Here is a 25,513-nt window from a genome sequence, read left to right on the forward strand (position 1 = left end):
GTTTCACCATGTTGGTCAGGCTGGTCTCGAACTCCTGACCTCAGATGATCCACCTGCCTCGGCCTCCCAAAGTGCTGGGATTACAGGTGTGAGCCACTGCGCCCAGCCAAAAGCAGTTCTTTACCTTGCAACCCAGGCTGGGCAGTCCAGCTTTTTCCTGTTTCTGAAAAGTAGTCACCTCTAGGGAATAAAATGGCTTCTTGAGAATGCTGATATGCACAGCAGAAGGAAGAAAGGAAAACCAATCCAAGGAACGGCTTGTATGTTCCTGGAGCAGAGGGCTTCATGCTCACAGGTGCACAAAGTGGAAACGGTTTTGGTTTTTGGTTTTTCCTTTTAGCTTTTAATACTTTTAAAATTATTTTTCTTGAAACCGGGTCTTCCTCTGTTGCCCAGGCTGGAGTGCAGTGGTGTGATTGCAGCTCACTGTAGCCTCAAACTCCTGGGCATAAGTGATCCTTCTGCCTCAGCCTCCGAGTAGCTGAGACTACAGGCATGCATCATCACGCCTGGCTAATTTTTTTTAGTTTTATTTTTGAAGAGGCCGGTCTCACTATGTTGGTCAGGGTGGTCTCAAACTCCTGGGCTCAAGCGATCCTCCCAAAGTGCTCGGATTACAGGCATGAGCCACCACACCCAGCCTAGCTTTTACTATATTTTATCTGATAATCCTTTTATGGAAAAAAGAAGGGCAGACTCTTTTACAGTTTGAAGAAGCTCCATATTCCATCAGGAGCCATCTTGAGCAATACCTGGGTTTCTAAGAGCTCCCCAGAGCCAGTTCTCCAGCTCACCTTGCTTTCTAATCTAAGGTTGCCCTCACCTTGGACAAGAAGCACGAGTCCCTCAGAGTAATTCAGAGTATCCAAACTCAAAAGTCTATGTACATGGAGGCCTTGCTAGACCTTAATGGTGACATTTTCATCAATATCCGGTTTTCTGCCATGAGTCCCTATCCCTCTTTTTCTTAACATATTCAAGCCAGAATATTTTTTCAGCCATTCTGTAACTGCACAGTTTCTTCCAAGTCTCTACTTTGTCTCCCATTAACTAGGATCCAATATATTTATGTATTTATTTATTTTAATTTTTGAGACGGAGTCCCCCTCTGTCACCCAGCCTGGAGTGCAGTGGTGCGATCTCACCCCACTGCAACCTCTGCCTCCTGTGTTCAAGCGAGTCTTGTGCCTCAGCCTCCCGAGTAGCTGAGATTACAGGTGCCCGCCACCACACCCAGCTAATTTTTGTATTTTTAGTAGAGACGGGGTTTTGCCAAGTTGGCCAGGCTGGTCTCGAACTCCTGACCTCAGGTGATTCACCCACCTCGGCCTCCCAAACTGCTGGGATTATAGATGTGAGCCACTGCACCCAGCCTCAATTTATACAATTTATCCTCACTGTTCTCTTTGCTGCTTTCTGTTTCGTTTTTGTCTTTTGTTTCAGACAGTGTCCTGTTCTGTCACCCAGGCTGGAGTGCAGTGGTGCAATCATGGCTCACTGCAGCATTGAACTACTGGGATCAAGCGATCCTCCTGCCTCAACCTCCCAAGTAACTGGGACTACAGGTGCACACCACCACATGTGGCCTTTGCTACTTTCTTATTTCCTCTTATTTCACAATTGGCTGAGCTCCCTCTGATTAAACACACCTCCATGCTTCCTCCAGGAATCTGTATTTTGCATATCTGTTATTTCATCTGGGGCTGTTTTCTTATTATTAGCTGCAAAAGTTCCAAAGAGGAAGAAGAAAAAAGATATATCAGAGAGGTGGAAAAGAGTTGATCAACATGGTCAACTGAATTCAAGACAGAGAAGGAACATGTGATGAGCTTACCTGAAAGGGTGATTTGTAGAGTAAGAGCTCTTAGGGGGACAAAGTAATGAACCCTGATTTTGATATGTTTCATATGGGAAGGTATAAGGAAGTTAAGGTTCTGTTTAGGAATCAAGATTAACCGTGGGGCAAAAGGACAAAAAATAGATTAAGGTAATAATGGAGAACAGCATAGAAATGAAATTCCCAATGCCCAAATGGCCACCAGTTTTTTCACGTTTCCCTAGAAGAACCAAGATAGTTCCTAAAGATGTCTGCCAGGATAGAAAAGGAAGAGGCATCTAGATTGGAAAGGAAGAACTATCTCTATTTGCAGATGACATGACTTTGTATACAGAAAATCCTAGAGAATACACACACATACACATATTAAAGCTAATAAATGAGCTCAGCAAGGTTGCAGGATATAATAATATCAATATGCAAAAAATCAAGTGTATTTCTAAACTGGCAATCAATAATTTGAAAATGAAATTAAAGAATTCCACTTATAACAACACCAGAAAGAATAAAACAAATAGGAATACGTTTAACAAAAAAAGTACATAAGTTTGTTACATTGAAAACTACAAAATGCTGTTGAAAGAAATTAAAGAAGGCCTGCTAAATAAATAAAAAGAAATCCCATGTTCATGGATTAAAAGACAATATTGTTAAGGAGGTCATACTCCCCAAATTGATCTACAGATTCAAGGCAATCCTTATTAAATTCCAGCTCCTTTTTTTTTTTTAGAGAAATTGACAAGCTGATGCTAAAATCCATTCTAATTCAAGGGACCCAGAATAGCCAAAAACAAATGATGCAAAAAAGCACAAAGTTGAAGGACTTACATTTCCTGATTTCAAAATTACTTCAAAGGGTCAGTAACGCAGACAGTGTGGTACTGGCATAAAGACAGACATATAGATCAATGACATGAAAGTATAGAAATAAACCCATACATCTATGGCCAATTGATTTTTGACAAAGATGCTTAGACAATTCTATGAAGAAAGAATAGTTTTTTCAACAAATGTTGCTGGGACAATTGGATATCCACATGCAAAAGAATGTTGGTCCACTACCTCACACCATGTATAAGTATTAACTCAAAATGGATCAACAAAAACTATAAAACTCTTAGGAGAAAACATAGGTGTAAATCTTCACCACCTTGGATTAGACAATAATTTCTTAGATACGATGGCAAAGGCACAAACAACAAAACTTTTAAAAATAGGCCGGGCATGGTGGCTCACACTGTAATCCCAGCACTTTGGGAGGCAAAGGCAGGTGGATCACTTAAGGTCAGGAGTTCGAGACCAGCCTGACCAATGTGGAGAAATCCGTCTCTACTAAAAATACAAAATTAGCAGGGCATGGTGGTACATGCCTGTAATCCCAGCTGCTCAGGAGGCTGAGGCAGGAGAATTGCTTGAACCCGGGAGGCAGAGGTTGCAGTGAACTGAGATCACACCATTGCACTACAGCCTGGGCAACAAGAGTGAAACTCTGTCTAAAAAAATAAAAAAATAAAAAAAAATAAATTGAACTTTATCAAAATTAAAAACTTTTTTTTTTTCTTGAGACAGGGTCTCACCCAGGCTGGAGTGCAGTGGCATAATTATAGCTCACTGCAGCCCTGATTTCCCAGGCTCAAGTGATCCTCCTGCCTCAGCCTCCCAAGTAGTTGATATATGAATGGACATTTTTCAAAAAAATATACACAAATGACCAGAAGCACATGAAAAATGCTCAACATTATTAGTCATCAAGAAACTACTTTAGGACCACAATGATCTGGTACAGATAGGAGCTGAACATTTAAAACATTTTTTTTTAAAAAACACAATGAGATACTACTTCATACCTACTAGGATGCCTATAATTTTTTTTTTTTTTTAAGAGATAGGGTCTCACTATGTTGCCCAGGCTGGTCTTTCCTGGCTCAAGCAATTCTCCTGCCTTGGCCTCCCAAAGTGCTGGGATTACAGGTGTGAGCCACCACACCCTAGCCCTGTAATTTTTAAAAAGTTAATAAGTGTTGGTGAGGCTGTGGTGAAATTTGGACCCTCATGCATTGCTGATGGGAATCTAAAATTGTGCATTTGCGTTGGAAAACAGTATAGCAGTTCCTCAAAAGGTTAAAAACACAGTTACCATATGACCCAGCAATTCTACTTCTAGGTATATAGGCAAGAGAATTGAAAACATATGTCCACACAAAAACGTGCACATGAATGTTCATAGCTGCATTATATAATAGCCAAAAAGTGGAAACAACACAAACTCCCATCAACAGATGAATAAACACAATGTGGGATATTCATATAATGGAGTATTATTTAGCCATAAAAAAGAATGAAGTACTGATACATGATACAATAGGGATGGACCTTGAAAATGTTATTCAAAGTCAAAGAAGGCAAAGAAGTCAGACACAAAAAACTATATATCGTATGATTTCATTTATTATGAAATGTCCAGAATGGGACATCTAGAGACAGAAAGTTGATCTGTGGTTGCTAGAGACTGGGGGAAGGGTTGCCAATGTGCATGGGTTCTGTGGGGAGTGATGAAAATGTTCTTTAGGTAGATTTTGGTAAGGGTTGCATGTCTCTGTGAATATACTAAAAATGTCTGCATCATACACTAAAAGAGTAATTTTATGGTATATAAATTATATCTTGATAAAAAATTATATTTTAAAAAACCCTCTTAATGTTTTACCACTAGTTGTAGCTGAGACACAAACCCAAATATATTAAGTACTGATGAAAATAAATTTTTTGATTAAAGGAAGTGCTCCATATTCTCTCTCTCTCTCTTTTTTTTTTTTTTTGAGATAGAGTCTCACTCTGTTGTCCAGGCTGGAGTGCAGTGGCACGTTCTCTGCTCACTGCAACCTCTGCCTCCCGGGTTCAAGCGAGTCTCCTGCCTCAGCCTCCCAAGTAGCTGAGATTATAGGCATCTGCCACTATGCCTGGCTAATTTTTGTATTTTTAGTAGAGATGGGGTTTCACCATGTTGGCCAGGGTGGTCTCGAGCTCCTAACGTCAAGTGATCTGCCCACTTCGGCCTCCCAAAGTGCTGGGATTACAGGCATGAGACACCACACCCAGTCCATGTTCTCTTAATTATGCAGTGATGTAGTCTCTAGTCTCAAACTTCAAAGGGACAAAGACTAGCCACATGAGAAAAGGCAAGCTGCTATAAACTGGAGTATAATATGACAATTTGGCTGTACCAAGTTACTTGGAAAAATCGAGATACCATGTTCTACATTTAGTTAAAGGGGTTTAGGCAACTGCATAAACACAGACCTAACTTCCTTTTGAGTGGGAAATTAAAGTTCTGAGTCCATCAGACTTGTGGATACAATCATAATAACAATAACAATATTTACTAGAGCTGGGCACTGTACTGAATGCTTGGCAGTGTGTTATCGCACCACATCCGAAGCAGGTGTTATTGTTACCTGGATTTTACTGATGAGGTAACTGAGTTCACTTGGAGAAAAAGCTGTGAGAAAATGTGTAATGTTGCTATGATCTGGTTCCAGACCTATGGTCTTAACTACTGGCTCTACTGGGTGTGGAGCAGATGACAAACTAGATATGTCGTAATCTGTCATATGTCCAACTGTATGCCTGGCAATATTCAGTTATACTCAGAGGCAAAGCCTGGTGATGTGACCCTCCTCCCTGGGTGGCAGTGGCAGGGAGCTTAAGTTTTGCACAAACAGCAGATGCATCCACTGTTCCGGAAGAACCCAGCTCACTCCACCTCCTGACCCGTCTTAACATTCAGTCACACCTGGGTTTTAAGCTTTCCTCTCAAACCATAGATACGTACCCAACATTTCCTGTCTACTTTTCCTAAACTACACTTCACCCTCCTATAAGATTGTGAGCTCCTCAAAAGCATCTTCCTCTTTCAGAAATGTCTCCCTGCCCCTAAACAGTCAGCACTGGAAATGACAGAATGAGCTCATGTCTTGCTCTAAATTCTGTCACTGCTACAAACTGTGTGAAATGTCACAGGGAGTAGGAGTCATATTTTGTGACCTGTAGTTAACTTTCCGTGCTGCAGGCAAAGCGCTGATTCTTGTACACTGACTTTGGAACAAATGCCACAGGCCCTAATTGCAGGCTCCAAGGAGTTGAGATTCCATACTGGGGTTGCTGGAGGCAGAAGCCTTCCCACTTTCAGGACCCGGACCTGCCCTTCCCCCACGCGGTCCCGCCCAGCCAGCTACACCCTGGCCACAGAGCGCTCACAAAGGCTCAGTGTGTGTATGCCGGGCTGACTCACAGTGGTTCTGGGCCCAGGCGAGGACCTTCTCAGAGGGGCGGAAGGGGCCCTCTCCCTCCTGGCCATTTTCCATGGGGAGCAGTCAGTAACCAGGACCATGCCAGACTTCAAAAAACAGAGAGGAAAGTGGAAGTGAAAGGCAGCAGAGGACTCAGAATTGCTGTTTCTTATTTCTTTCTTAGAGAATTATGGACAGCAGGAAGGACTCACCTTTTAGTCTGTCAGTTTGTTTGCGAGAGAGAGAGAGAGAGAGAGAGAGAGAGAGATACATTTTAATTGAGAGACAATTCACACAATATAAAACTAACCACTTTATTTATTGAGATAGGGGTCTCACTATATTGCCCAGGCTGGTCTCAAACTCCTGGGCTCAAGTGATCCTCCTCCCTTGGCCTCCCAAAGTGCTGGGATGACAGGTGTGAGCCACCGTGCCCGGCTAAACTAACCATTTTATTTTATTTATTTATTTTGAGACAGAGTTTTGCTCTTGTCGCCCAGGCTGGAGTGCAATGGGATGATCTCGGATCACTGCAACCTTCGCCTCCCGGGTTCAAACGATTCTCCTGCTTCAGCCTCCTGAGTAGCTGGGATTACAGGCACCTGCCACCATGCCCATCTTTTTTTTTCTTTCTTTCTTTCTTTTTTTTTTTTTTTTTAGGAGAGATGGGGTTTCACCACGTTGGCCAGGCTAGTCTCAAACTCCTGACCTCAGGTGATCCGCCCGCCCCACCCTCTCAAAGTGCTGGGATTACAGGTGTGAGCCACCGTGCCAGGCCGAACTAACCATTTTAAATTGACCAGTTCTGTGGCACTTAGTGCATTCATAACATTGTGCAAACACTACCTTTTGTTCTAAAACATTTTCACCCCAAAAGAAAACTTGAACCCATTCAACAGTGATTCCCCATCTTCCCACCCACACTCGGCCCCTGGTGACCATCAGTCTGCTTTCTGTCTCTGTGGATTTACCACTTCAGGATATTTCCTATACATGGAATCGTACAATATATGACCTTCTGTGTCTGGCTTCCTTCTCTTGGCATAATCTTTCAATGTTCATCCCCATTGGAGCATATATCAGTACTTCATTCCTGTTTATTACCTATTCATATTCCATTGTATGAATACACCACAGTTGGTTTACTGATTTATCAATTGATGAACACTGGAGTTGCTTCCACCTTTTGGTTATTGTGAATAGCACTGCCATGAACATTTGAGTGCAAATATGAGTACCCGTTTATAATTTATTAGGGTTTATATCTAGGAGTGGAGTTGCTGGGCCAGATGCTAATTTGATATTTAACCTTTTGTGGCACCATCAAACTGTTTCCCCAGTGGCTGCACCACTTTAAATTTTCTCCAGCAATGTATGAGAGTCACCCTCTTCTTAACGTGTACCCATTTGTCCCTTTCCTCTTTCCTACTTTTTACAAAGCCAGTTCCCCACAGACTTCTCTTTCCCCTGGAGTAGAGGGTGGGAGAAGTTGCATCTCTAGTAGAAAGACTATCCAAGCCTCCATTCTTACCTTTTCCGCAAATAGAATACGGTGACCAGGAGGAGGAGAGGACAGGCTGCCACCTCCCTGTGGTCACTAAGGTACACCCACTACAGCCATTAACGCGACTCCGTAAAACTACCCTCCTAGCGACCTCCAACGCCTCGGTCCTCACCCAGAACATCACATTAAACTTTTCAACAGTCACAGATAGGAAGGGGCTCGGTGTGGAAGGTGCCAGCTCTGGCTCAGCCCTGCGGGTGAGTGTTTAACTTTCAGCCCAGCTTAAGATCTCCGAAGACACCCATCGCCTCGTCCTGCCCAGTCCCCTCCGCTAAAGGGCCGGCCTGCCCGGGCCTGGCTGGCAGCTGACATGAATGGAGAGGAAGCGCCTCCCTCTCCACCCACTCTCGCCGGGGTTACTGCCGGTCACAGACCCGGGCCTTCAAGAGCTATTTACACCTACAACAGCCCACCAGCGCCTGACCACGCCGGAGCCAATCAGCGGCCCCCAAGCTTGTCTGATTCTGTCTGCTCCAATCAGGAGGCGCGGTCCTTCCAGCCTCTTGCTCCTGTGAATCACAGGTCGGCGGGAGCCTTTTTTCCTTTTTTTTTTTTTCCCGGGGAGTCGGCCTCGGGGCTCTGCTCTCCTACCTCAGTCTGCCCTACCCTGGAATGGGGAAAATGCGGACATGCCACTCAGTCCGGCCGCGAACAGTGCTCCAGAACTCAGAGAGTTTTCCAGACGGGTGGAGATCGCGTTCCCTGCCCGCCGAGGTCCCATCGCTTCCCTGCTGGGAAGACAAATGAGGCGCTTTAGCCGTCTCCACGGCCAGCCCCTCCCTCATAACCCGAGATTCTTTGTGGGCTCTTAGTCCATAGCTGCCTTTGAGGTGGTGTAGACCTTGCTAACCAGGACGGCCCAGTAGGCAGAGCTCATTTTTATTCCTGTCTGCAATCGTGCAAAAACGCCTCTTATGGAAAAGCCAGAGCGCCAGGAGTCAGCAAAACACACTAAAGATTGGGCAGTCACTGGGGAGAACGTGAGTAAAAGCACAGGAACAGCAAAGCGTTCAGGAACGTTCGAGGCTGACGCAACCGGCGCAGGAAGGTGGTGTGTGGTGGGAGAGTGGGAGGAGACAGTGGAAAGTTTAGACTTGCTTCTGTAAGTGATAAGAAGTCATCAGATATTTTCAAGCAGGAGAGGAAAATAATCTCTCTGTTTCGCAAAGTTAACTCTCATGGCAACAGAGCAGAGTAGCGGGGGGATGGGGGCTGGGAGATGTTGGGAAGCTATTGTTACCACTCTGGTGAAGAGTCATGGGACCTCAAAAGCTGGGATAGTCACGGTGGGAATGGAAAGGAAGGGCACAAGCTGAGAGGCATTTGGGAGGAGAATCAATAGCACTTTATTGACTGGATGTGTGAGATGAGTGAGGACAGCAATCAGAAGAGGACTTTGAGGTTTCTAGCCTGAGTGGCTGGAAGGACACCACTTCCCCTACCTGAAATAGGTAGCAAAAAGGAGAGAGAAAGAGAGAAGCAGAGGGATTTTGCAAAGGGAATAGGAGTTCAGTTTTTGACATGTGGCATTTGAATTGCAAGAAGTACATCCCTGTGGATGTAATACCCAGTAGACAGTTGGGAATTAGGATCTGGTGTCGAGAAGAAAAGTAGAGATGAGATCCAAAGGGTTTATAGTGGATCGGGAGAGAAATTGATGACCTAAAGAGAAATTATAGAATAAGAAGATTTGGGCAGGGCACGGTGGCTCATGCCTGTAATCCCAGCATTTTGGGAGACCAAGGTAGGAGGATTGCTTGAGCCCAGGAGTTTGAGACCAGCCTGGGCAACATGGTGAGACCCCGACTCTACAAAAACTGCAAAAATTAGCCGGGTGTGGTGACACATACCTGTAATTCCAGCTACTTGGGAGGCTGAGGTGGGGGGATCACCTGAGCCTGGGGAGGTCTAGGCTGCAGTGAGCTGAGATAGTGCCACTGCACTCCAACCTGGGCAACATAGCAAGAGCAAGACCCTGTCTCAAAAGTAAAAAAAAAAAAAGAAGATTCAAGTACAGAATCTTGGGAAGGTAGAAAGAGGACACAGAGGCCAGGTGTGGTGGCTCATGCCTGTGATCCCAGCACTTTGGACGCTGAGGTGGGTGGATCATCTGAGGTCAGGAGTTCAAGACCAGCCTAGCCAACATGGTGAAACCCTGTTTCTATTAAAAATTATCCAGGCATGGTGGCGGGCGCCTGTTAATTCCAGCTTCTCGAGAGGCTGAGGTAGGAGAATGGCTTGAACATAGGAGGCAGAGGTTGCAGTGAGCTGAGATTGTGCCACTACACTCCAGCCTGGGCAACAGAGTGAGACTCTGTCTCAAAAAAAAAAAAAAAAAAAAAGAGGACACAGAGCTAGCAAAACAGACAAAGAAGTATCAGAAAGATATGAAAAATTAAAAAAAAGCAAACTACGATACTGTAATAGAAATAAGAAAATAATTCCAGGAAGAGGAAGCAGGACATTGTTTATGTATGTACAAAACAGTAAGACATTGGTTAAATAAATTATAAAGCATTCATTTGATAGAATACAGCCATTAAAATTATGTTGCAAAACTATATAATTGCCATAAAGAGATGTTCAATGCATCTTTTTTCCCCCAGTGCATCTTAGAAACACTCAGGTTAAAAAATAGTATATATGCTGGGCACGGTGGCTCACGTCTGTAATCCTAGCACTTTGGGAGGCTGAGGCAGGTGGATCACGAGGTCAGGAGTTTGAGACCACCCTGGCCAATGTAGTGAAACCCTGTCTCTACCAAAAATACAAAATTAGCCCGGCATGGAGGCAGGTGCCTGTAATCCCAGCTACTTGGGAGGCTGAGGCAGGAGAATCACTTGAACCTGGGAGGCAGATGTTGCAGTGAGCAGAGATTGTGCCACTGCACTCCAGCCCAAGTGACAATGCGAGACTCCATCTCAAAATAAAAAAAAGTATATATATATGTGTGTATATATATGTATATATATGTGTATATATGTATATATGTGTGTATATATGTATATATGTGTGTATATATGTATATATGTGTATATATGTATATATATGTGTATATATGTGTATATATGTGTATATATGTATATATATGTGTATATATGTGTGTATATATGTGTGTATATATGTGTATATATGTGTGTATATATGTATATATGTGTATATATGTGTGTATATATGCGTATATATGTGTGTATATATGTATATATATGTGTGTGTATATGTATATATAATTGTACCATTTTTAAAAATTACATATGTGACTGCAAAAAGGCATGAGAAGGCTGGGTGGCTCATGCCTGTAATCCCAGCACTTTGGGAGGCCAAGGCAGGCTGATCACCTGAGGTCAGGAGTTTGAGACCAGCCTAGCCAATAATTGTTATACAAAATAGAACAATTTTTGTATTTTGTAAAAATACAAAAATTAGCCAGGTGTGGTAGCACATGTCTGTAGTCCCACTTACTCAGGAGGCTGAGGCAGGAGAATCCCTTGAACCCAAGAGGCGGAGGTTGCAGTGAGCTGAGATTGCACCACTGTACTACAGCCTGGGTGACAGAGTGAGACACCGTCTCAAAAAAAAAAAAGGCATGAGGAAACTTTTAGGATGAGGGAACTGTTCTATATGTTTGTTGAGGTAATGTATACACAGCTCTGTACAATTATCCAAAATCCTCATAAGGGAGGAGACCACCCCTCATATTGTCTTATGCCCAATTTCTGCCTCCAAAGAAAGAAGAAGTAAAAACTTAAAGACAGAAATGAAATCCACAGGCAGACAGCCCGGCGCCACACCCTGGGCCTGGTAGTTAAAGATCGACCCCTGACCTAATCAGTTATGTTATCTCTAAATTACAGTCATTGTGTGGAAAAGCACTGTGAAAATCCCTGTCCTGTTCTGTTCTGTTCTAATTACCAGTGCATGCAGCCCCCAGTCACATACCCCTTGCTTGCTCAATCGATCAAGACCCTTTCACGCGGACCCCCTTAGAGTTGTCAGCCCTTAAGAGGGACAGGAATTGCTTACTCAGGGAGCTCGGTTTTTGAGACGTGAGTCTTGCCGATGCTCCCGGCCAAATAAAGCCCTTCCTTCTTTAACTCGGTGTCTAAGGGGTTTTGTCTGCGGCTCGTCCTGCTACACTCAAACTAGAATTCCTTAAATTTTTATTTTTTATTTTATTTATTTTTTTTTAGAGACTGAGTCTCACTCTGTCATCCAGGCTGGAGTGCAATGGCATGCTCTCGGCTCACTGCAACCTCCACCTCCCAGGTTCAAGTGATTCTCCTGCCTCAGCCCCTGGAGTAGCTGGGATTACAGGTGTGCAGCACCACGCCCAGCTAATTTTTGTATTTTTAGTAGAGACGGGGTTTCACCATGTTGGCCAGGCTGGTCTCGAACTCCTGACCTCAGGTGATCTGCCCACCTCGGCCTCCCAAAGTGCTGGGATTACAGGCATGAGGCACCATGCCCAGCTGAATGCCTTAATTTTAACAAGAGGGGGACTGTTGATGGTACCCACTTCACAGCGTTGTCCTGGGGATTAAATGGCAGACCAGAGCATACTGCCTGGAATATAAGAAGGGCTCAATCAGTAGAGAAGGGAAGGATGACCCAGGACCACAGCACGGAGGAGGCGAGACTGGGAGCAAGGCCCGGAGTATGGGTAAAGGCCACACCTGGGCCTCTAAAACAAAACCACCAACAAATAAAAGACCCTAGAATGGGTCCAGACAAAAAGGAAAGTTGAGAAACTGAAAACTTTAAGACTGAAAAAGGGCTCTGGGCATGGTGACTCATGCCTATAATCCCAACACTTTGAGAGGCCAACATAGGAGAATTGCTTGAGCCCAGGAGTTCAAGACCAGCCTGGACAACATACGGAGACCCTGTCTCTACAAAAAATAAAAAATAATTAGTGGGATGTGGTGGTACACGTCTGTGGTCCCAGCTACTTGGGAGGCTGAGGTGGGAGGATTGCTTGAGCCTGAGAGGTTGCGGCTTTGGTGAGCCACAATCACACCACTGTAGTCCCGCCTGGGTAACAGAGCGAGACTGTCTCAAAAAAAAAAAAAGGGGGGGGAAGGTTTATGAGGGACCTTGGTAGCTGACTTAGAATATGACACAAATGAGGAAATAAACCTATTCCTTATTGTCCAGAGGGTTGAATAAAGGAATAAAACTATGTGGGAATGAGAGCAAGCATGGCTATGGACAGGAAGGCAGCTCAAATAACTTGAGCTGTTCTACAGTGTCTTGGGAGGAATAAGCTGCTTCTCTCACCATATTTGTTCAACTCGTCCAAGATTCTGTAAACATGTTCCTGAATGGGATGAGATAATGGATTAGATACCTCTTAGGTTCCACCTAGTTTTAAGACTATGATATAAAGCACATCAAAGCTCTTCAACCAAACATAAGGTAATAGGAGTTATGTTATTTTCAGTCTATGGAATGGATGTCAATCTCATCTCTTTTGATTGTCAAGCTAGTTCCCATTTCTTCATGGTTTTGATCAAATCTGTTTAAGCTGTCTTTATGATCTGGACTAGGTGAGCTTAAAGTGATCATACCTGGCTGATAAATACTAATTGCATTTCTAAGTAGGCCGCTGGTAGAAATTTAATTATTTGGTTTTAATGTGAGCTGTTTTGTTTTGTTTTGTTTTGTTTTTTGAGACAGAGTCTCGCTCTGTCGCCAGGCTGGAGTGCAGTGGCGTGATCTTGGCTAACTGCAACCTCCGCCTCCCGGGTTCAAGCAATTCTCCTGCCTCAGCCTTCCGAGTAGCTGGGACTACATGTGTGCCCACCACACCTGGCTAATTTTTTATTTTTAGTAGAGATAGGGTTTCACCATATTGGCCAGGATGGTCTTGATCTCCTGACCTCGTGATCTGCCCACCTTGGCCTCCTGAAGTGCTGGGATTATAGGGGTAAGCCACCATGCCCGGCCCTTAATGTTAGTTCTTATTATACTTCATATCTATATCATTCATTTTGCATACTATGGTACAATAGAGAAACCATTAGGCTAGGAGTCAGTGTGACCCAGTTTCAAGTACTGGTTCTACTACTTAATAGATGTATGGCTTTGGGGAAAGGCATTTATGCAGAGGTTTTCGATGTGTAGTCCATGGACCCCTGAGCGTACCCCAAATAATTTTCAGGGTATCCATAAGACCAAAATGATGTTCATGGTGATATTAAGCCTTATTTGCCTTTTTTCACCATCACATTGACATTTCTTCTGATGGTGGGAAATTCTTTGCACCTTGATAGGAATCACGGTAGTAGCACCAAACTGTACCAGTGGGCATTACATTCCTCACTGCCCTGCACTTGGAGGGGAATTCAGTCCCCCAGGCTGGAATGCAATGATCTCGGCTCACTGCAACCTCTGCCTCCTGGGTTCAAGCGATTCTCCTGCCTCAACTTCCCAAGTAACTAGGATTACAGGTGCCTGCCACCACGCCTGGCTAATTTTTGTATTTTTAGTAGTTTCACCATGTTGGCCAGGCTGGTCTCGAACTCCTGGCCTCAGGTGATCCACCTACCTTGGCCTTCCAAAGTGCTGGGATTACAGGTGTGAGCCACCATGCCCAGCCAAGATGTTCTTGATAAAATAAAAATTATTAATTTATTAAATTTTGATCCTTAAGAGCACCTTTTAAAAATTCTGTGGCATGAAATGGGAAGTAGGAAGTACTTATAAAGTACTTCTGCTATATGTCAAAGAACAGTGGTTGTCTTGAGGGAAAACATTAGTGTGATCATTATAGTTGTGAGCTGAATTAACCCCTTTATTCATGTAATATCCTTTTTGTTTGAAAGAATGACTGACAAACTGGTTGTTCAGACTTTGGTATTTTGCAGCTTCAAGAACATTAATAAAGTAAAATTGTTACTTCAAAGTAACAACTTGCAATATTTGTTCCAATGATAAAATTTGAGCTTTTGGCAGTGGCTCATGCCTATAATCCCAGCACTTAGGGAGGCTGAGGCGGGAGGAGCACTTGAGCTCAGGAGTTTGAGACCAGCCTGGGCAGTCTCTCCAAAAAGAAAAAAAAAATTAGCCAGGCATGGTGGCATGCACCAGCTGAGGTGGAAGGAGCACTTGAGCCTGGGAGGCCAAGGCTGCAGTGAGCCATGATTGTACCACTGCACTCCAGCCCAGGCAACAGAGCAAGATCTTGTCAAAAAAAAAAAAAAAAGAAAAAAGAAAAGAAAAAATAGCTTTCAAGCAAAACTCAGAATTGTAGTGATCTTGCATGTGGTACTAAGCTTGACAGCTTCCTAATAATTAAAAACTCTTCTGATGCTATCAGTGGTGATGTTCAAAAATGTCAATTTTTAAATATTATAGAATAAAATGTGCCAACATTTTAGAAGATTTGCATAACTCAGTGAACCAATACTTTTCAAATGACCAAAACATAATGTTACAAAATCATGCATGGATAAAAGGTGCATTGAAAATGCAAATGAGGCCAGGTGTGGTGGCTCATGCCTCTAATCCCAGCATTTTGGGAGGCAGAGGCTGGAGGATCACTTGAGGCCAGGCATTTGAGACCAGCCTGGCCAACATAGCAAGATCCTATCTCTAAAAATAATAAGAGTAAGAGAATTAGCCAGGCATGGTGGCATGCGCGTGAAGTCTTAGCTACTTGGGAGGCTACGGTGGGAGGATGGCTTGAGCTTAGGAGTTTGAGGTTACAGGAAGCTATGATTGTGCCACTGCCCTCCAGCCTGGGTGATGGAGTAAGACCATGTTTCAAAAACAAAACAAAAAAAAAAGAAATGCAAGTTAGACCAATGAAGTATAATGTAATGAAATACAAAAAATTCATTGCTATGGTTTCAAATTCCCAGTGCAATTAACCTTTAAGATACTACGTGTCAGGCCTCTGAGCCCAAACTAAGCCATCATATCCCCTGTGACCTGCATGTATACATACAGATGGCCTGAAGCAACTGAAGATCCACAAAAGAAGTGAAAATAGCCTTAACTGATGACATTCCACCATTGAGATTTGTTCCTGCCCCACCCTAACTGATACGATATATTCTCCCCCGCCCTTAAGAAGGTACTTTGTGATATTCTCCCTGCCCTTGAGAATGTACTTTGTACGCCTATCCCAAACCTATAAGAACTAATGATAATCCCACCACCCTTTGTTGACTCCTTTTTAGACTCAGCCCGCCTGCACCCAGGTGAAATATACAGCCTTGTTGCTCACACAAAGCCTGTTTGGTGGTTTCTTCACACGGATGCATGTGACATTTGGTGCTGAAGACCCAGGACAGGAGGACTCCTTTGGGAGACCAGTGCCCTGTTGTCGCCCTCACTCCGTGAGGAGATCCACCTATGATCTCAGGTCCTCAGACCAACCAGCCCAAGGAACATCTTGCCAATTTCAAATCGGGTAAGTGGTCTTTTCACTCTTCTCCAGCCTTTCTTGCTACCCTTCAATCTTCCTCTCTCACTACCCTTCAATCTCCCTGTCCTTCCAATTCCCGTTCTTTTTCCTCTCTAGTAGAGATAAGGAGACACATTTTATCTGTGGACCCAAAACTCCAGCGTCAGTCACGGACTCGGGAAGACAGTCTTCCCTTGGTGTTTAATCACTGTGGGGACGCCTGCCTGATTATTCACCCACACTCCATTGGTGTCTGATCACCACGGGGATGCCTGCCTTGGTCATTCACCCACATTCCCTTGGTGACAAGTCAATTGCGGGGACACCTGCTTTGGCTGCTCACCCACATTGCAGCCCAGGGCTGCTCAATGCCCCCCGCTGCCCCACCCGCCTTCTCCGTGCCTCTACCCTCTCTTTTCTCGGGTTTACCTCCTTCACTATGGGCAACCTTCCACCCTCCATTCCTCCTTCTTCTCCCTTAGCCTGTGTTCTCAAAAACTTAAAACCTCTTCAACTCACACCTGACCTAAAACCTAAGTGTCTTATTTTCTTCTGCAACACCGCTTGGCCCCAATACAAACTCGACAATGATTCCAAATAGCCAGAAAACGGCACTTTCGAGTTCTCCATCCTACAAGTTCTAGATAATTCTTGTCATAAAATGGGCAAATGGTCTGAGGTGCCTGACGTCCAGGCATTCTTTTACACATTGGTCCCTCCCTAGTCTCTGCTCCCAATGTGACTCATCCCAAATCTTTCTTCTTTCTCTCCTTTCTGTTCCTTCGGTCTCCACCCCAAGTTCCGAGTCCTCTGAATCCTTCTTTTCTATGGACTCATCTGACCTCCCCCCTTCTCCCCAGGCTGCTCCTCGCCAGGCTGAGCCAGGTCCCAATTCTCACTTAGCCTCTGCTCCCCCACCCTATAATCCTTTTATCACCTCCCCTCCTCACACCTGGTCCAGCTTACAGTTTCGTTCCTCGACTAGCTCTCCCCGATCTGCCCAACAATTTCCTGTTAAAGAGATGGCTGACTATCCTGACTTCATCAGAGCAGGCTGGTGCCTGGCCTTCCTGGAATGAGTGGGTGTTCTGACAGGCCCCCAGTTTGTCCCATCTGCACCGCCAAGAGGTCTCCGGGTGGCCAGAGGAGCAAAGTTGCCTTCCAAGTGCCTGTTGGTGCCTGGGAGAACACAGCAGGAGTGTCGTGCGGCCCACAGCGCAGTGCATGGTGATTCCAGGCGCTGAACAACTCCCCTTGACCCTTGGGCCTGCATCTGACTCCCGGCTGCAGAATCAGAAGCTGAGTCCAGGCAACCGCTCGGCCACTCCCGGTCACTCCTCTCTGGACACCCAGTTACTAAAGTCAGCAAAGAAGATGCGGTAATCACCGCCTGATCTCCACATGGTGAACACAACACTCTCACTAACACCTCCTTGACCAGTCAGTCTTCAGCACTGGGGGTGGACAGGCAGGTTTTCTGTGTTTACCAGAATCGCACAGGCTAAGCACAAACATGGAACCAGAGTTCCAGGTGAGGAAACCTCACTCGCAGAAGCCCAGGCTGCACCCCACCAGGTGATGCAGTGCGCCTAGGCTGTGGGTGCTAGGAGCCAAGTGCTAGGGACTCGTCATGAGTGGGAATCCCCACGTTCCTGTCACTGCTGTCAAACAGAAGGTAAACAGTCTTACGAATGTAATTCCTTAGGAAGACTTGTACAAACTTTTATTAGGATATCTATTTATTTAATACTGAACTTTGGCCTACTTTGTGATAAGACTATAAACAAATTGAGGAAATCACTATTTCTCACTTCTGTATTTCTCAAAAAATAATTTTGTTACAGAGTTCAATATACTGTGTACTACTGATCTTCTATTGTGAAAGCAAAGCATTTCATCAAAACAAAGTATTTTAAATTATGAGTGAAAATTGTGTATGTTAATTTTGCAGCTGTAATATTAATCAAACTTTGTGTAATTCTAATCACAAAATGATGTGCCTTAAATGCCCCTCCAGCTGTGGGTTGGCAGTGTCCAGACAGGGACCCTGAAATCCTGAATGACTGCTAGACCAATTCTATTAAAAACATTTCAAGGCAAAAAAAAAAAAAAAAGAGGTGGCTGGAGCTGAAGGCGTAGTCAAGGTTAATGCTCCTTTTTCTTCATCTGACCTCTCCCAATCAGTTAGCGTTTAGGCTGTTTTTCATCAAATATAAAAACCCAGCCCAGTTCATGGCCCATTTGGCAACAACCCTTAGATGCTTTACCGCCCTAGACCCAGAGGGGCCAGAAGGCCGTCTTATTCTCAATATGCATTTTATTACCCAACCCGCTCCGGACATTAGAAAAAGCTCCAAAAATTAGATTCCAGCCCTCAAACCCCACAACAGGACTTAATTAACCTCACCTTCAAGGTGTACAGTAATAGAGTAGAGGCAACATATTTCTGAGTTGCAATTACTTGCCTCCACTGTGAGAGAAACCCCAGCCACATCTCCAGCACACAAGAACTTCAAAACACCTGAATCGCAGCGGCCAGGTGTTCCTCCAGGACCGCCTCCCCCAGGATCTTTCTTCAAGTGCTGGAAATCTGGTCACTGGGCCAAGGAATGCCTGCAGCCTGGGATTCCTCCTGAGCCATGTCCCATCTGTGCCAGACCCTACTGGAAATCAGACTGTCCAACTTACCCAGGAGCCACTCCCAGAGCTGCTGGAACTCTGGCCCAAGACTCTCTGACTCCTTCCCAGATGTTCTCGGCTTAGCGGCTGAAAACTGATGCTGCCCAATCGCCTCAGAAGCCTCTTGGACCATCACAGATGCTTTGGGTAACTCTTACAGTGAAGGGGAAGTCTGTCCCCTTCTTAATACAGAGGCTACCCACTCCACAATACCTTCTTTTCAAGGGCCTGTTTCCCTTGCCTCCATAACTGTTGTGGGTATTGATGGCCAGGCTGCTAAACCTGTCAAAACTCCCCAACTCTGGTGCCAACTTGGACAACATTCTTTTATACACTCTTTTTTAGTTATCCCTACCTGCCCAGCTCCCTTATTAGGTCAAGACATTTTAACCAAATTATCTGCTTCCCTGACTGTTCCTGGACTACAGCCACACCTCATTGCCGCCCTTTTCCCCAGTTCAAAGCCTCCTTCGCATCCTCCCCTTGTATCTCCCCACCTTAATCCACAAGTATGGGACACCTCTATTCCCTCCTTGGCAACCGATCATGCACCCCTTACCATCCCATTAAAACCTAATCACCCTTACCCCACTCAATGCCAATATCCCATCCCACAGCACACTTTAAAAGGATCCCACAGCACACTTTAAAAGGATTAAAGCCTGTTATCACTCGCCTGCTATAGCATGGCCTTCTAAAGCCTATAAACTCTCCTTACAATTCCCCCATTTTACCTGTCCAAAAACCAGACAAGTCTTACAGGTTAGTTCAGGATCTGTGCCTTATCAACAAAATTGTCTTGCCTATGCACCCCATAGTGCCAAACCCATATACCCTCCTATCCTCAATACCTCCCTCCCACAACCCATTATTCTGTTCTAAATAAACCTAGCTGACCCCATAAATCCTAAATCCTTTCCCCACTCCCCTTTCCATTCCTTAAAAAACAGCCCTAAAAGCTGCTCCCACACTAGCTCTCCCTAACTCATCCCAACTTTTTCATTACACACAGCCAAAGTGCAGGGCTGTGTGGTCGGAATTCTTACACAAGAGCCAGAAGCATGCCCTGTAGCCTTTCTGTCCAAACAACTTGACCTTACTGTTTTAGCCTAGCCCTCATGTCTGTGTGTGGTGGCTGCTGCTGCTTTGATACTTTTAGAGGCCCTCAAAATCACATTATGCTCAACTCACTCTCTACAGTTCTCATAACTTCCAAAATCTATTTTCTTCCTCATACCTGACGCATATACTTTCCACTCCCTGGCTCCTTCAGCTATACTCAACTCTTTTTTGAGACAGAGTCTCACTCCGTCTCCCAGGCTGGCATGCAGTGGCACAATCTTGGCTCACTGCAACCTCCGCTTCCCAGGTTCCAGCGATTCTCCTGCCTCAGCCTCTGGAGTAGCTGGGATTACAGGTGTGTGCCCCACACCCGGCTAATTTTTTGTATTTTTAGTAGAGATGGGGTTTCACCATGTTAACCAAGCTGGTCTTGAACTCCTGACCTAAAGTGATCTGCCCATCTCGGCCTCCCAAAGTGCTGGGATTACAGGCATGAGCCACCACACCCAGCCTATACTCACTCTTTGCTGAGTCTCCCACAATTACCATTGTTCCTGGCCTGGACTTCAATCCGGCCTCCCACATTATTCCTGATACCACACCTGACCTCCATGACTATCTCTCTGATCCACCTGGCATTCACTCCATTTCCCCATATTTCCTTCTTTCCTGTTCCTCACCCTGATCACACTTGGTTTATTGATGGCAGTTCCACCAGGCCTAATCGCCATTCACCGGCAAAGGCAGGCTATGCTATACTATCTTCCACATCTATCCTTGAGGCTACCGCTCTGCCCCGCTCCACTACCTCTCAGCAAGCCAAACTCATTGCCTTAACTCGGGCCCTCACTCTTGCAAAGGGACTACGTGTCAATATTTATACTGACTCTAAATATGCCTTTCATATCCTCCACCACCATGCTGTTATATGGGTTGAAAGAGGTTTCCTCACTATGCAAGGGTCCTTCATCATTAGTGCCTCTTTAATAAAAACTCTTCTCAAGGCTGCTTTACTTCCAAAGGAAGCTGGAGTCATTCACTGCAAGGGCCATCAAAAGGCATCAGATCCCATCACTCAGGGCAACGCTTATGCTGATAAGGTAGCTAAAGAAGCAGCTAGCATTCCAACTTCTGTCCCTCAGGGCCAGTTTTTCTCCTTCTTATCGGTCACTCCCACCTACTCCCTCATTGAAACTTCCACGTATCAATCTTTTCCCACACAAGGCAAATGGTTCTTGGATCAAGGAAAATATCTCCTTCCAGCCTCACAGGCCCATTCTATTCTGTCGTCATTTCATAACCTCTTCCGTGTAGGTTACAAGCCGCTAGCCCATCTCTTATAACCTCTCATTTCATTTCCATCGTGAAAATCTGTCCTGAAGAAAATCACTTCTCAGTGTTCATCTACTATTCTACTATCCCTCAGGGATTGTTCAGGCCCCTTCCCTTCCCTACACATCAAGCTGGGGAATTTGCCCCTGCCCAGGACTGGCAAATTGACTTTACTGACATGTGCCGAGTCAGGAAACTAAAATACCTCTTGGTATGGGTAGACACTTTCACTGGATGGGTACAGGCCTTTCCCACAGGGTGTGAGAAGGCCACCACGGTCATTTCTTCCCTTCTGTCAGACATAATTCCTCCATTTAGCCTTGCCACCTCTATACAGTGTGAAAACAGACCGGCCTTTATTAGTCAAATCACCCAAGCAGCTTCTCAGCCTCTTGGTATTTAGTGGCTCCTGGTTTTACCTCAAAACACCACCCTTAAGGCTCTCTTGAAGTGGATAGATCTTCAGTGGCAAGGTACCCTCCGATACTTTCACCCTGATGAAGTCCTATTCTTTACTTTTATACTCATTCTTATTCTGGTTCCCGATCTTATGCCACCCTCTACCTCTCCCCAGCTATCTCCACCACACTATCAATCTCACTCTCTCCTAGCCCCGTTTATAATCCTTCTTTTTTTTTTGAGATGGAGTCTTGCTCTGTCCCCCAGGCTGGAGTGCAGTGGTGTGATCTTGGCTCACTGCAAGCTCCGCCTCCTGGGTTCACACCATTCTCCTGCCTCAGCCTCCCAAGTAGCTGGGACTAGAGGTGCCTGCCACCATGCCTGGCTAATTTTTTGTATTTTTAGTAGAGATGGGGTTTCACCATGTTAGCCAGGATGGTCTCCATCTCCTGACCTCACGATCCGCCCACCTCAGCCTCCCAAAGTGCTGGGATTACAGGCGTGAGCCACTATGCCCGGCCCTCTAATCCTTCTTTAACAAACAACTGCTGGCTTTGCATTTCTCTTTCCTCCAAAATCGCCAAGGCCTCGACTTACTCACTGCTAAAAAAAGAGGACCCTGTATATTTTTAAACGAAGAGTGTTGTTTTTACCTAAATCAATCTGGCCTGGTGTATGACAACATAAAAAAACTCAAGGATAGACCCCAAAAATTCGCCAACCAAGCAAATAATTATGCTGAACCCCCTTGGGCACTCCCTAATTGGATGTCCTGGGTCCTTCCAATTCTTAGTCCTTTAATACCTATTTTTCTCTTTCTCTTATTCGGACCTTGTGTCTTCCTTCTGTTTAGTTTCTCAATTCATACAAAACTGCATCCAGGCCATCAACAATCATTCTATACGACAAATACTCCTTCTAACAAGCCCACAATATCACCCCTTATACCCAAATCTTTCTTCAGTTTAATCTCTCCTACTCTAGGTTCCCATGCCACCCCAATCCCACTCAAAGCAGCCCCGAGAAACATCGCCCATTATCTCTCCATACCACCCCCAAAAATTTTCGCTGCCTCAACACTTCACCACTATTTTGTTTTGTTTTTCATACTAATATAAGAAGATAGGAGTGTCAGGCCTCTGAGTCCAAGCTAAGCCATCAAATCCCCTGTGACCTGCACGTGTACATCCAGATGACCTGAAGCAACTGAAGATCCACAAAAGAAGTGAAAGTAGCCTTAACTGATGACATTCCACCATTGTGATTTGTTCCTGCCCCACGCTAACTGATACCATATATTCTTCCCCCGCCCTTGAGAATGTACTTTGTACACCTATCCCAAACCTATAAGAACTAATGATAATCCTACCACCCTTTGCTGACTCTCTTTTTGGACTCAGCCCGCCTGCACCCAGGTGAAATAAACAGCCCTGTTGCTCACACAAAGCCTGTTTGGTGGTCTCTTCACAAGGACGTGCGTGACACTACACTTGTTGAGTTTTAGTGTAGTATCAAAGAAGAATATCCACAATTATCTATTGAAATCCTTCTCCCTGTGGTGGCTCACATGTATAATCCCAGCACTTTGGGAGGCCAAAGTGGATGGATCACTTGAGTCCAGGAATTCAAGACCAGCCTGGACAACATGGTGAAACTTCATCTTTACCAAAATACAAAAATTAGTTGGGCGTGGTGGCATGTGCATGTATTCCTAGCTACTTGTGAGGCTGAAGCAGGAAGATCGCTTGAGCCTGGGAGGCAGAGGTTGCAGGAAGCCGAGATTGGCCCACTGCACTCCAGCCTGGGTGACAGAGTGAGACTCTATCTCAAAAAGAAAAAAAAAAATCCTCCTCCCTTTTCCAACTACATATTTGAATGAGATTAGATTTTCTTCATCTATTTCAACCAAACAACATATGGCAATAGATATGAGAATCCAGCTGTCTTCTATTAAGTCAGACATTAATGAGATTAGTAAAAATGTAGAATGACTCTCATCTCACTAAATATTTGTTTGCTTTGGAAAATAGTTATTTTCCTTTAAAAAACTGTTATAATAGTAATAGGTTTTTATTGTTATTTTATCTGTTTTTTTTTTTTTTTGGAGACATCTCTTTCTGTTGCTCAGGCTTGAATGGAGTGGCCTGAACACAAATCACTGAAGCCTCAACTTCCCAGGCCCCAGCAATCCTCCCGCCTCAGCCTCCCAAGTAGCTGGGATCACAGGTGTGTGCCACCAAGCCTGGCTAATTTTTAAAATTTTTTTTTGTAGATATGAGATCACACTATGTTGCCCAGGCTGGTCTCAAACTCCTGGACTCAAGCGATCTTCCCACCTCAGCCTCCCAAAGTGCTGGGATTACAGGCGTGAGCCACCACACCTCGCTGCTAGTATCTTTTGAAGCATTAAACTTTTTAATTTTGATGCAGTCCAGTTATCCATTTTTTATTTTGTTTCTTGTGCTTTTGGTGTCACATTAAAGAAGCCATTGTTTCAAGGTCACAAAGATTTACACTTAGTTTTCTTTTAAGAGTTTTATAATTACAGCTCTTACATTTAGGTCTTCGATCCCTTTTGATTTCATTTTTGTATGTAGTGTGAGGTACCTAAATAATTTTAAGGATATAAAGGGGTTGAGAGCTAAACGTTTGAGAATCACTGCTTTAACTTCTCTCAGCCTCAGTTTTCTCATCTTTAAAATGATAACTGGCCGGGCTTGGTGGCTCATGCCTGTAATCCCAGCACTTTGGGAGGCTGAGGCAGGCAGATCATTTGATGCCAGGAGTTCGCAACCAGCCTGGCCAACACAGTGAGACCCCATCTCTACTAAAAATATGGAAATTAGGCAGGTAGGGTGGCACGCACCTGTAATCCCAGTTACTTGGGAGGCTGAGGCAGGAGAATCACTTGAACCCAGGAGGCAGAGGTTGCAGTGAGCCAAGATTGCGCCACTGCACTCCAGCCTGGGCGACGGAGTGAGACTCTGTCTCAGAAATTAAAAAATAAATAAATAAAATGATAACTGTATTTGACTTACTACCTCATAGGGCAGCTATGAAGTAAAAAGAGGTCGTATAAATGAAAGACATAATAAAGCACTATTGAAATGTAAGTGATCATCACTGCTATTATTTTTATGTATATGTTGTCTGTCCAACCTGTTCAAAGATCCTTGGGTTTTTCCTTTTGTTCTACTGCCACAGCCCCTTCCTCATACTAGACACATAGCAGATCCTCAGTAAATATTTATTTGTGAACTGATAGATGCACTCAGTCTTGCCTGTGTTGTCAGAAGTAAAAAGAGAAGTATTTACATTTTGGTAGTCACTCCCTAGCCACTTCCTGCTCTCAACTCCTTAAGCCTAAAAAACTAATAAAAATAAAAATAAAAATAAAAAAACAACTTGTTAAGTTTGTAGTCAGCCAAGACTCATAGCCTTTTTCACTTGAACTGTTAAGCTAAGTCTTCCTTATCCTATGTTGGTGAAATTAATATTTTGAACATAAGCATGGGACTTTAAATGTATCCCTGGTTGGCCAGGTGCAGTTCATCACGCCTGTGATTGCAGCCCTTTGGGAGGCCAAGGCAGGTAGATCATGAGGTCAGGAGATCGAGACCATCCTGGCTAACACAGTGAAACCCTGTCTCTACTAAAAATACAAAAAATTAGCCGGGCAGGGTGGCATGCGCCTGTAGTCCCAGCTACTCGGGAGGCTGAGATAGGAGAATGGCTTGAACCCAGGAGGCGGAGGTTGCAGTGAGCTGAGATTGCGCCACTGCACTCCAGCCTGGGCGACAGAGCAAGACTCCATCTCAATAAATATATATATTATATATATATATATATATATATATATATATATTTCCCTGGTAAATTTCATTTATTTGTTAATTCTAACTTTGGAACCTATTGAGAGCTTTATGAATCCCAATTCAGTC

At 44.5% G+C, this 25,513-nt stretch overlaps 1 long non-coding RNA gene across 1 annotated transcript, besides 6 other annotated features; it reads left to right on the plus strand.

Annotated features, from left to right (window-relative positions):
• Positions 7,797-8,126: an enhancer, noted in NCBI's record as "active region_3891". NCBI's record gives its function as "activates an Ori minimal core promoter by ATAC-STARR-seq in GM12878 lymphoblastoid cells {active_cell/tissue: GM12878}" and the evidence as "EXISTENCE:reporter gene assay evidence [ECO:0000049][PMID:35858748]".
• Positions 7,797-8,425: a biological region, named in NCBI's record as "OCT4-NANOG-H3K27ac-H3K4me1 hESC enhancer GRCh37_chr10:102132955-102133524".
• Positions 7,856-8,425: an enhancer, noted in NCBI's record as "OCT4-NANOG-H3K27ac-H3K4me1 hESC enhancer chr10:102132955-102133524 (GRCh37/hg19 assembly coordinates)". NCBI's record gives its function as "activates a minimal SCP1, AML or CMV promoter by ChIP-STARR-seq in naive and primed H9 embryonic stem cells {active_cell/tissue: H9 hESC(naive and primed)}" and the evidence as "EXISTENCE:reporter gene assay evidence [ECO:0000049][PMID:30033119]".
• Positions 8,227-8,356: an enhancer, noted in NCBI's record as "active region_3892". NCBI's record gives its function as "activates an Ori minimal core promoter by ATAC-STARR-seq in GM12878 lymphoblastoid cells {active_cell/tissue: GM12878}" and the evidence as "EXISTENCE:reporter gene assay evidence [ECO:0000049][PMID:35858748]".
• Positions 8,234-23,012, plus strand: OLMALINC (oligodendrocyte maturation-associated long intergenic non-coding RNA). The gene is made up of 3 exons (NR_026762.1): positions 8,234-8,670; positions 15,874-16,106; positions 22,695-23,012. It is a non-coding gene; the product is annotated as an oligodendrocyte maturation-associated long intergenic non-coding RNA (long non-coding RNA).
• Positions 8,426-8,993: an enhancer, noted in NCBI's record as "NANOG-H3K27ac-H3K4me1 hESC enhancer chr10:102133525-102134092 (GRCh37/hg19 assembly coordinates)". NCBI's record gives its function as "activates a minimal SCP1, AML or CMV promoter by ChIP-STARR-seq in primed H9 embryonic stem cells {active_cell/tissue: H9 hESC(primed)}" and the evidence as "EXISTENCE:reporter gene assay evidence [ECO:0000049][PMID:30033119]".
• Positions 8,994-9,563: an enhancer, noted in NCBI's record as "NANOG-H3K27ac-H3K4me1 hESC enhancer chr10:102134093-102134662 (GRCh37/hg19 assembly coordinates)". NCBI's record gives its function as "activates a minimal SCP1, AML or CMV promoter by ChIP-STARR-seq in primed H9 embryonic stem cells {active_cell/tissue: H9 hESC(primed)}" and the evidence as "EXISTENCE:reporter gene assay evidence [ECO:0000049][PMID:30033119]".
• Positions 23,013-25,513: the final 2,501 nt, after the last annotated feature.

This window comes from Homo sapiens, chromosome 10, assembly GCF_000001405.40.
Source record: "Homo sapiens chromosome 10, GRCh38.p14 Primary Assembly".
In the NCBI taxonomy this organism is placed as follows: domain Eukaryota; kingdom Metazoa; phylum Chordata; class Mammalia; order Primates; family Hominidae; genus Homo; species Homo sapiens.